Here is a 12,397-nt window from a genome sequence, read left to right on the forward strand (position 1 = left end):
TACAAGCCCTCACAAGCATTTCCTGCAGGCTCCACCACTTTGAGAAAAAGCAAAGCTTTTGAATTATCCCTGCTAGTGGTGTGCTGGTAAAATCAGCTCTCTGAAAAGTACATACATACATAGAGAACAATATAGCATTTGCTGATTTCCAATTTTGGTGGTGTAAATGCTCATACCATAACAGATTTCAAGCTACCAGTGAAATTTCACAGGCTTTTACAACCAGCTTGTAAAGTTCCTGAGTATTTAACATTGGCTTTTGATATCCTGTAGGAGCTGGCTTCAGCAGCCACTGGCAGGGCTATCCTCCAATTCTCCAGGTCACCCCCAACCAGCACCCATCTTATTCTCTTAGCAATGTCCTTGACTAACATAATTTTGTCATGACAGCATTCACCATGGCCCACACTGTCTTAGAGACACATTGCCTATCTGATCTCATTTAATCCTCACAAAATCAACCATCTTTATCTCCATTTCACATATCATGGTTACTACTGGAGGCTTATCACCTTTCATCAGACCTGCACTACACATAAAACATAACACACTGCATTGTTGGGCAAAGCAGTGCAGCCCTCTTACAAGTATTTTTTTAACACAATAAAGTTCTTTCAAGTGTAAATTTATTTTTCCATGACAAAAATAATGAACCACTTTGCAAAGAAAATTGGAAGGCAACCATTAATTCTTAAATGTGTTAAGATTATTTGATGTCATGGTAAAATGTTTATGAAATATTACATTTTAAAAGTGTAGTATAGTAACCTACAATGTGATACCAATTCTGTAAAACAGTAAATGTATTAATGAAACACTCTAAGTAAAGGAAAAGTGAGTAGTTATCGCTCTTTTTTAGTATGTTTTAATTGATATATCATGGTTATATATATTTTTGGGGTACATGTGATATTTTGATACATGTATACAACATGTAATGATCAAGTCAGGGTAATTGGGATGTCTGTCACCTCAAACATTTATCTTTTTTTGTGTCATGAACATTATAATTCTTTCCTTGTAGTTGTTTTAAAATATACAATAAATTATTATTCATTATAATTTTTTAATTAAATATTTTTAAAATTTTTATTATTTTTATTTTTTTTAGAGACAGGATCTTGCTGGTCACCCAGACTGGAGTGCAATGGTGCAATCATAGTTCACTGCAGCCTCGAACTCTTGGGCTCAAGCAGTCCTCCTACCTCAGCCTCCAGAGTTGTTATCTATAATTTTGAACAGTAGTTATCTGTAACAGTGAGAAGCAAAGGTTTTCCTCATTTCCTCTTTTACAGTTTCTGTATTTTCCATAATTGATACATCATCACATATTACAATTATGATGAGAAAACATGATACATATTTTTATTTGGAAAATACATAAATAAAAACAAAATCTATGACCTCACCGTTCAGACTCAACATCTCTTCCATTTTGATGTCATGCGATGTTTCTGACGGAGGTTTAATTGAAATGAAACAGCATCAATAAGCATGGGCTCCACAGTCTTCCCACATCGCTCTGAGTGCCCGGGGAGGGACTGGGGACTCCCCCCACACATTAACCCACGAGGACCTCTCACATGGACCTTTTTACATTCTCTCTAATCTTTCCCAAAGCCTTGCAAGGTGGGAGTAATATTATTATTCCCATTTCAGAGATGACAAAACTAAGAAACTCGTCCTCTGTGAGTTTCTGTGCTATTAGGCTGTGTCTCATGTCCCCGTACAAAGTATCTTTGTATGGGAGGCCTAATGGTTAAGAGCATGGACTTCTGTCCGACAGAATTCATTAAGTTCCAGGCCAGACACACTGCCGCTCTCTGGGAATGTGTCCATGGGCTAGGGGTGGCACTGAGCTTCCATTCCATTTCTTATAAAATAATGACGACAAGATCGTTTTCCTTAAAGGGTGGCTGTGAGCCTTCAATTACACAGTGATGAAAAGACCTTAGCACAGTGCTGGGCAACGGCTAGCTACTTCAGAGGCACAGCTGAGACTTGCACAGAGGTACCTGGCTGCAAAGTCCGGCTCCTCTACACTCTGCAGAGCTGTTTTCCCCCTTCAGAGCTCCTCTCCTCCGGGAGGGCTTGCCTCGCCCCGGTCCAGGATCTCTGCCTTCGGTTGAAGCGCAGCGCCCCCAGCCGTCCGCAGGAGGGATCGACGCCTCTGTCTCCCCGAAGTGAGGGCGCTCGCTGCGGAGCTGGGGGTGGTCTCCTCTTCCCCCCATCGCGGCCCAGCAACCTGGGGGTCCGCGTGACTTCTCCCTGGCCGGGGGATGGAGGATGCGCTCTCCTCTGTCCCTTCAAGGCCTCTTCCTCGTCCCAGGTCGAGTCTCCTCCTTGCTGACCAGGCATCGCGAGCAGATGAATCCTCTGGGCGGTTGTCCCTGTCAGGCTGTCAGGACCTGATTTTCCCTGGTAAGCCTTCGTCAGGCAGGTGGCCTCGCCCAGGCCTCGGAAAATGTCAGGGCGCAAGCTGGGCACACGGCCCTCCCGCTGGCGAGCAGGCAGCGCGCGCGTTCTTTAGGATTTGGAACAGCCCTGCCAATTAGCTTGTACTCTGCCCACATGCGCAGGACTAAAAAGGAAGCAGGCCAGGCCCGAGCAAAATTAGACAATGGGCTCCCAGAACACCAAGGGCGAAGGCGGCCCGAGCACCTGCTGTTCTCGCCCCTCAGGGCTGAAATTGGGCATGGAGTTGGCGAGGGAGGCCTGGCAGGGAGGGAGGGGGTCTAGCTGTGCGTTTGCTACAGGGCCTTCTTCCTCCACGTTCCAGATGGGACTCAACGCGGGCTGCCCAGAGGAGGGGATGGGGAAGGGCCAAGCCCTGCGACTGGATTCTTTCCGGGCCACAGAGGGCGGGTGCTTACAGCTGGGGTCAGGCACACTTCCGTTCTGCCTGGAGGACAGGACAGGGTGGTGGCTTCTCCAGATCCAGTGCTGGCCGCTCAGAGCCCATGTGTGGAAGACAGTCTGGTGCAGGGGTTGAGGATGAAGACTTTTGGAGAGAGGCGCATGCGGGTTCTTGTCCCACGTTCCTTATTGACCCACTCTGCAACCTCGGTTACTTGAGAAAAGTTAAGATTCCTTTCTCCAAAAAGCAGAGACAATACAAATTTCTAACTTGTAAGGTACCCTGTGAGAATAAGAGGAAATGAAATGTGGAATCCATATAGTATCTGCTTATAGAGTTACTGAGTTCTATTTTGGGATGAAGAAAAATGTAAACCTTACAACGGGAATATTTTTATCTTTGAGGTTCACTAAAGCACCAGAAGGTATGAAGGCGGAGAGAGGAAACAGGGCAATGGAATGAACACTTCTCAAGAATCTCTCAGGTGCCACGGACTGAGCCAGGTGCCTTCCATGTGTTATCTCATTTTACAGGGCAGGTAACATTTCTGAAAGGTCAGGCAGCTAAAAAGCAGACAGCTTTCTGGCACATTAGAGAAACAAAAGAAATGTTGGAGACTGGAATGCCTGCTGTGTCAAGGCACCTAATTAGAAAACAACGTCAGAGTGAATTTGTCGTGCGAGTCTCCAGCTCTGCCAGAAGAACTAAAAGAAATGTGTCACCAGAGGAATCACAAAGTAAAGTCTATTATTGTTCTGGGGATTCTGGGGATTCGATGCACAAATCAGAGGTCTGACAGGGGATGGGGCATGTGTTACGTCTTAGTAATGTGCTAAATGGTAGTGCTTCCAGATTCCCCACAGAATCCTACTGCAGTCAGAGATCTTGATGTCGGTTGAACTTATCTATTTATAACGAGGAAACATTAAGGTAACTCAAACCAACAAAATAAAACAGGTTGACAGTGACTAAGCAACAACAGAGTGCTAGATTTATGTAGAGATTCTTTCTTTCAAGTTGCTGAGACATTTCACAAAGGAGAACCGTAGATTATCATCAACTTCCATTTGGGGACTTAGAAATCCACCAAAGACAAAGACAATGTTGGTATCATTCCTTCCAGCTCTTGGCTGAAACTGTTCTTTCCTATGTCACCAGTGAACTTCTACTGGCCAACGCCCAAAGAATACTTTCTCAGTTTTAGTTTAGAGACCTCTCTATTCCACTTGCATGGTTAGACACTAACTGCTGGAAACTTCCAATCTGAAACACTCCCTGGGAAATGTCTTATTTGCAAATTTTACAGCTAAAATCCCTCCTCCATAGACAATCTATTAATAAACAGTACCTGCAAATGGGGGACTCTCTGGGGGAAATTTTTTCACTGCAATTGGTGTCAGCATTATATTATAATTAATCCATCTTTATCTAAGATAAAGTTGTAGGTTCAGATAAATAATGTCCCTCTCCCTTTAACACTTGTTATACTTGTGCTAGGCCTATTTGTGGCCACACCTGGGATTGAGTGGTTGAGATGAGATGCAAAAGAGATTATCTAAACTTCTGGGTGATTTTTTGCTGAATGAATGTCTTTTAAAGCACCATTTCTGATCCCATTTGGCTTCTCTCTAGCCTCTATCGATTAATTGTTGATTTAAATTGGAAGAGAGGCTATATGGAGTCTAGAACTTTACTTAGTTCATTGTTATTTCCCCAGGACCTCGAAAAGTGCCTGGGATATAACTCACAAATATGTGTCGAATGAATGAGTAGTTCTATCTGTTTCATGTCTGGGTCAATGTAGGCTGTATCCACATGTTCCTGGTAGGGGAAGTAATAGTAACAAAGATTTTGGCTAAGCTTCAGAGGCCATGAATTAATAGATTTTGGAAGAGGTCACTTTAGGATTTATCAGCTTCAAATCTTATATAAACTTCTTACTGGATCCAAAAGACTCCACTATTTATGGGAGACTCATGGTTTGGCCATTACAATGGTGAATGAGGTAAGGTTTTGGGACATACGTAACCAGGCCTGAATTGGTTGAATATGAACTTGAAAGTTCAAATTCAGACTAACATCTTTCTTTTGTCAGCTCTTCAATCTCAGCACTTGTCAACTTAAATAACAAACAGAAGAGGGGCTCTCTAAAATAAAAATGATATGTACTCAGGAGTAAGGCATTGCAATGGAAATATGTGTGCCATAGTAAACTATGTGCATACTAAGAGAGGTAAAGAAAGACAAAAATTTTTAAAGGAAAAATGAGATGGATTACATAATTGTTTGGAGATAATTATCCTTGCTACAAAGATCAATAGAAAGGGTGATGCCAGTACAAGGTTGGACAAGCAATTACTGGGCAGATGTCTTTACAGAAGTATTTGTGTGTGTGTGTGTGTGTGTGTGTGTGTGTGTGTGTATAAGATTGTGTGGCCTTCATGCAAGGTTGTGGTTTTTACAGTCTTTTGTGATATTTTTTGTTATCAGGTACACAAGCAAGCGAACCCACTCTTCATAGCCTTCCCCAACCCTATTTGTCAAGTGTTTTTTTTTCTTTAATACTAGTGAAATAAGATAGAAAGGAACAAGTCTCATACCTGATGTATGGGCCAAACAAGAAATCCATCATGCTGCCTAATGTCATGACCAGAGATGTTCAGACTGCAAACCAGGAGAGTTGATGTTTTCATGCTTTTCTTAAGACATCGAAAGACTCCACATCATGAGACTCTTACCCCTTTTAATGCCTACTTTTTCACTTGGCAAGATAATAATGTAATTGAAATTTCATAATCAGTAGCTCCTGCTGGAAACTTGACTAAGAGATCCTTTAATATCCATTGGTTAAATAGGAAAACAGGCCACATGGTAATAACAGCTCTCACTTAATTCTCTCTCATCATTTGATGTCTTCAATTGTTTATCTTTAAGCCTCAGTGTATGGCTCAATACCATTATTTAAACTGGGATTTTCATACTACTATTATTTTTACTTTGTTGCTGCCGTTGGTTGTTGTTGTCTGAGACAGGGTCTCACACGGTCACCCAGGCTGGAGTGCAGTGGCACCATGGGTCATGGCTCACTGAAGCCTTGATATTTTTACTTTGTATTTTCCCTTTTTAAACTTTGTATCTGCAAGCCCTGTGGTCCCAGCTACTCCAGGGGCTGAGGTGGGAGGACTGCTTGAGCCTGGGAGGCAGAAGTTGCAGTGACCCCGGATCACACTACTACTGTACTCCAACCTGGGTGACAGAGACCCCATCTCAAAACCAAACAAAAACTTTGTATCTATTACTTATTAAAATTTTTGCAGAAACACAACCCTAATAGGATAATACTAGCCCAGCACTTTGAGATGATAACAAAAGACTATGGAACAGACAAAATTGAACTTAATAATAGACTCTAGGTAGAATTAGCATGAGAACCACTTTCTTCAAATCTCCCTTATTGTTCAAATGTGGCTGAAAGGGTTTTGACACTGACTCTTAGCCGACATTCACTCCCCACAAGGTGGGATGAGACAAGCAACTGGGACCAAGGGCCGTCACATCCAACTACAGGATAATCAGTGATGCTTTCAGAGAAAGATCTTGATCAAAGGTGGGAAATGTGAAAGTTGTCAGAATCAAAATAGAGTCACCAGTATTAAAAAAAAAAAACTTGACGAATAGGGTTGGAAAAGGCTCTGAAGAGCAGGTTTGCATGCTTGTGTGCCTGATAACAAAAACTATCACAAAAGACTCTGCAAAAACTACAACCTTGCACAAAGGCCATCACAATCTTACACACACACACACACACACACACACAAACTTCTGTAAAGTTCTCTGAGATTCCTCCCTCAGCAGCTCGCCTTTTTGGCCGTGTAGTCTTCTCTAGGATTAACATGCCTAGGTTAAAATGTTTGTGAACACTTTTATCTTAGTTTTATTTGGACGACAAGCACCTGATTTGGCTCTTTCCCCTTGCTTGTTTCTGAAAATCTTCCGAGAGCCAAGCAAAACAAAACAAAACAAAAAAACAAAGAAGCAAAAAATACTCAATAGTGGATGCAGGATGACTAATTGAAAGCCATTAGGGTAGTCACCACCGTTTAAGTTATCAGGCATATTAATCAAATAAAATATTAGGCATGCAGACCAAAAGAGAATTCACCAGAAAAAAAAAAAAAAAACATGGCTCAGAGACAGACTGCAAATTCTGTAGAAATCAGAGCACTCAAACAGAAAGACACTTGTTTTTATACCAGAAAGGACTTACCAGAAAAGACATATAGTCGTTTATCATCCCAGAAGAGATGTAAGATCCTTCATTTAAGGCAGCCTTATAACCAAACCAGATCCCAAATAATATCAAAAATGCTCTGACAAAAAGAGATAAGCTCAGCCTAAGAGAAGACTCCAGGGCCGAAAAGGCCAGCTGCTGAGGCAGGGATCTCAGAGGGCTCAAGTGAGGACTGCACGCCGAAGTCAAGAACCGCCGATTCTTCTGAGAGCGAGCTTTCTTCAGGTCCCGTTTTCTGACACCATTTATATCAACCTAAATAACAAACAGAGAAAGGCTCTCCAAAAGAAAAAGATACTTATTCATGAGTAAGGCATTGCAATGGGAATATGTATGCCCTAGTAAACTATGTGCATACTGACAGAGATAAAGCAAGACAAACATTTTAAAAGGAAAAAACAAGGACGATTAATGTAATTGTTTTGAGATCTTGGCTACAAAGATCAATAACAAGGGTGACACCAATCTGAATTTGAACAGGCCATTGTTGGGCAGATTCCCTGGCACAAGTATTTTTTGTGTAGGGTTGTGACAGCCTTTGTGCAAGGTTGTGAACTTTGCAGAGTCTTTTGTGATAGCTTTTGTCACCAAGCACACAAGCATGAGAATTCTCTCTTCATTGCTTTTCCTGGCCCTATTAGTCAGGATTTTTAAAAAAATATTAGTGACTCCATTTTGTTTCTGACAACTTTCACAGAACAAATGTGTGTAGATCACAGGCTCCTGTCTGCTTGGATTCTGGTCATGTCTTCTCACTGAGTGTAATTTAATGCCTCAAAAAAATTAATCACCTAATGAAGACCTCTTCCCTGAAGATCTGTTTGTGGTCTACTCTGACTGGTAGGGGTCTCAGGCAATTTGCTCACCACTTTGAGCTTATCAGGAATTGCAGTAAATATAGTCCATCTCCTTCAAATTATTGCCTTATCAGTTTACTGGATATGTAACTAAATGCTATGCTCATTTCCTTCTTGATAAGAGCCAGCCTGAGGTTTCCAAAGCTACTCTGCCTGAGAATTCAGTGGTCCTCAGTTATGTTCCAGGCCCATGGTGCAATGATAGCTTCTTTTTTTTGAGACAGAATCTCGCTCTGTTGCCCAGGCTGGAGTCCAGTGGCTCAATCTTCACTCACTGCAACCTCTGCCTCCCAGGTTCAAGTGATTCTCCTGCCTCAGCCTCCAAAGTAGCTGGGTTTACAGGCACATGCCACCACACCCAGCTAAGTTTTGTATTTTTAGTAGAGATGGGGTTTCACCATGTTGGCCAGGCTGGTCTCGAACTCCTGACCTCAAGTGATCCACCCACCTCATCCTCCCAAAGTGCTGGGATTTCAGGCGTGAGCCACCGGGCCCAGCCCTTGATAGCTCTTTATCAATTTGTGCAGGCATCTCTCATGAATAAACAGCAAGATCACCTGTTGTCCTGTGCTGAGCTTTTCTCAACCTTTCATTCTGTGGATTAAAGCCAATTTTGGATTTAGCTGCTAATGCTCAAAATAAAAGCTCAATCAATAACTGTCCCTGCTTCATAAATGGACCAGCATTTTATACTGCCTTCAGATCCGGGGTCAGTTAAGTTTAGTTTTTTTTAAAATATACACAATTTTTTGGAGGGAGTCACAGAGGAGTGCCAAATAGAGCAGGTTTTGCGCCTTTTGTTTAAAATGTATGCTAATGATTTACAGTCCCTTTTTGATCTTTGCAAAGAATGCCTGTATTTCCATCAACCCAACCCTTCCTGCTTTTGAGGGCAGAAAAGCTAGTCCTCTCCATGGTCAGAGAGCAAAAGCAAAGATTTTCCCTCTCTACTTTCAGATACAATGGTTTAGGATGAATTACTGCTGAGCCAAAATCATTTTTGGCATATGTTCCTAAAAATGTAATTAGTCTGTTTACAACTCTAGGCACCAGGTGAGCTCATTCTATTTCACAGAGATTCATTCCACAACCAATGTTCACTGAAGGGTTCAAAGAAACCTATGCCATTTAAATGTGATATGTTGCAAGTATGTTGTTAGAATTTTTCTGCAGATGAGATAAATGTTTGCTAACTATTATTCTGAATTTTTCTTCATTATGCTCTCTGGTGAAAAACGGGAATTTCCTGTGTGTGTGTGTGTGTGCACGCACGTGTGTCTGTGTGTGTGTGTGTGGTTATTTTTAGGAAAAGTCTCAAAAGTATCTTGTAAAGAAACTCCTAGCCCTGCCCATGTGGTATGTCTCCCTCCATCCCCCTTTTTCTTTCTTTAGCACTCTTCTAGGCACGAGAATAGAATGATGAACAAAAGTTGCACAGGTCTGCCCCTCATTACTCTTACATCATATTGGAACAAGAGTATTGGGTTTTGGCTTCTTACTTTTCATCCGAAGATTCAAGTCTTATTTTCCCATTTAGTTGCTTTGGAAATCATGTGGACCTAGCTCTTGGCAACACAGAATCCACATCTAACCTCGTTCTACTCAGCTCTGCTGTCCCAAAGGTATTTCAGATCTACCCTCTTACCCTTTCTCCCATTAAGGTTCAAAGTACTATTACTGGTTTCCAAATTTCCTTTAAGACAGTATTATTTCTTCAAAAGAAAATTGATTTGGAAACCAATTTTATTGAAGCTACTCTATTTCTATCCAAAATAGGACGGAATGCTAACTGCCTCCCTGAGTTTCCTACTTTGTCCAGAGCTCTGAGAGAACCCGCCAAGCCTATTTTAAAACACTCTCCCCTGGAGAACTGACTTACCTGGAGCTTGGCCTCTGGGGGCCCACACTCTGGGCTGAATGATAAATCCGGGGCTGGGCTGAGAGTCAATTTGGCCCTCAAACTTATCAGCCCTGTTCCTCATTGTTTTTCTGTACATTTTTAAAAGGGCTGCCTACCTTTTTCAGAATCGATGAGCAAAATCACACATCCTCATGTCCATCTGGTGCTCTGTATTGTGTCCGAGGCTACTGCAAAGTGATAAAAACTAGGACTCAGTTTTGAAAGGAGAGGCAAGCGAGGTGCCATTGTTGAAACAGCCTTTCCGGTTGGAATTGTTAAGACTGAATTTCTTTTTCTCAGCAGGGCTTGTGTAGAGAGCTCCACACCTCACTTAGTGTAAACAGCAGGTTCTTACCCCACAGTCAAGTAAAAAAGAAAGATAAACAGGTCAGATCTCAGATACTTGCAAAGAGGGTTACAAAGAGAATAGCTTGAGCACATATTGCACAGAATAAAAATCGGCTGGTCCAGTGTTTGTATTTCTGGAGGGTGGGAGACGGAGGGAGGGAGGGAGGGAGAGAAAGAGACAGAGGTGTTTCTAATTCAGACCTGCAGTATAATTTCACCATCTGCTGGAAAGAGTCCCCGTGACACAAAATTCTGCAGTTTCCCTACCTTCTCACGCCCCCACACTGTTTCCACTCCATTGCTAGGAGAGGCTGTCTAGAACTGGAGAGTTTTGAGAAGCTGTTGGTGGAGGAGTCGTTTTTTTACATATCACCTCCTGTGCCCCAAATCTTTCCCAGAATCTAGGGGAATAGAGGACAAGGCAGTTTTGTTGTTGTTGTTTGTTTGTTTGTTTTGAGGAGCATTCTTCTTTTACTGGATATAAAAGTAATACATCTGACAATGCCTGGTAAGGATATGGAGACATAGGATCTCTTACACATTGCTGATGGGACTATGTATTGATTAATGCAACAACTTTGGGAAAACACTTTCTTTTTATTATTAATTGACAAATCATAATCGTATGTATTTATGGGGTATGATACGATGTTCTGATATATGTATACAATGTGAGATGATTAAATCAAGTAAATTAATATATCCAGCACTTCAAACACTTTTTTAATGGTGAAAATGACACTGCCATTACAAAATTATAACTGAAACAGGGAAAGATATCTGACCTAAACAACTCCATCTTGCCTCTAACCTCCAAGCTGTCCCTGTTCATTCCTCGGCATAGGCCAAACTAACTTTGGGAGGAATTTAGTTTATAGTTTAAAACAAAAATGACAACAGCCCTTTCCCAAAACAAACCTCTTTCTTGCATGGGGTCTAGACTGCCTTTGTAGGACTAACAAATTAGTCAAAAGATTAGAAATTATGGTTTAGGAGTCATGCTGCTGGAGGCTACAAGATTCTGAGCCCTCCCCACATTGCTCCTGGGGATAAAATTACTATCGTAAAACCTACGACCACTGCTTGAGATATTTTGCAGACCCCGCACCTGATGAATCAGCTGGCACCACCCAGATTGAAAAACTGGCTCATCTGATCTTGTGGCCCCCTACCCAGGAACTGACTCAGCGCAAGAGGACAGCTTCGACTGCCTGTGACTTCATCTCCAACCCAGCCAATCAGCACTCCCAAATCACTGCCCCCACCCACCAAATTATCCTTAAAAATTCGGATCCCCCTTGGGGATACTGATTTGAGTAATAATAAAACTCTGGTCTCCTGCATGGCCAGCTCTGTGTGAATTACTTTTTTGCTGTTGCAATTCCCCGTCTTGATAAATCGGCTCCGTCTAGGCAGTGGGCAAGGTGAACCTGTTGGGCAGTTACAAAAACACTTAAAATCTACTCTCTTTGCAATTTTCAAGTACACAATATGTTGACTATAGTCACCATATGGTGCAATTGATCTCAAAGAACATATTCTTCCTAACTGAAACTTTGTACCTTTTGACTAACATCTCCCCATTTCCCCAGCCCCCAGCTTCTGGTAACAACCATTCTACTCTCTGTTTCATTGAGTTTGATTGTTTTAGATTCCACATATAAGTGAGATCATACAATGTTTGCCTTTTTGTGCATGGCTTATTTCACTTAACATAATGTCCTCCAGGTCCATCCATGTTGTCACAAATGACAAAATGTTCTTCATTTTCAAAGCTGAATGGTATTTCCTTGTGTAGATTTGCCACATTTTACAATCCATTCATCTGTTGATGGGCACTGTGGTTGAATCCGTATCTTAGCTATTGTGAATAATGTTGCCATAAACGTGGGAGTGCAGACATCTTTTCAACATACTGATTTCAAATCTTTTGGATATATACCCAACAGTAGAATTGCTAGATCATATGGCTGTTCTATTTTTAGTTTCTTAAGGAACCTCTATACCGTTTTCCATAATGGCTGTATTAACTTACATTCCTACCAGTAGTATACAAAATTCCCTTTTCTCTACATCCTTGCCGACACTTATCTTTCACCTTTTTGATAACAGCTATTATAACAGGTGTGAACTGATATTGTGGT

At 41.7% G+C, this 12,397-nt stretch overlaps 1 long non-coding RNA gene across 2 annotated transcripts; it reads left to right on the forward strand.

Annotated features, from left to right (window-relative positions):
• The first annotated feature begins 2,334 nt into the window (after nt 1–2,334).
• On the forward strand, nt 2,335–11,596 carry LOC105371648 (uncharacterized). 2 transcript variants are annotated; one of them, XR_007066768.1, is made up of 3 exons: nt 2,335–2,421; nt 3,262–3,594; nt 9,543–11,596. It is a non-coding gene; the product is annotated as an uncharacterized LOC105371648 (long non-coding RNA). The 2 variants fall into 2 exon arrangements; XR_001738335.2 differs by lacking the exon at nt 9,543–11,596 and having other exon boundaries at nt 3,262–3,833.
• The last annotated feature ends 801 nt before the right edge of the window (nt 11,597–12,397 follow it).

This window comes from Homo sapiens, chromosome 1 (genome assembly GCF_000001405.40).
Source record: "Homo sapiens chromosome 1, GRCh38.p14 Primary Assembly".
In the NCBI taxonomy this organism is placed as follows: Eukaryota; Metazoa; Chordata; class Mammalia; order Primates; family Hominidae; genus Homo; species Homo sapiens.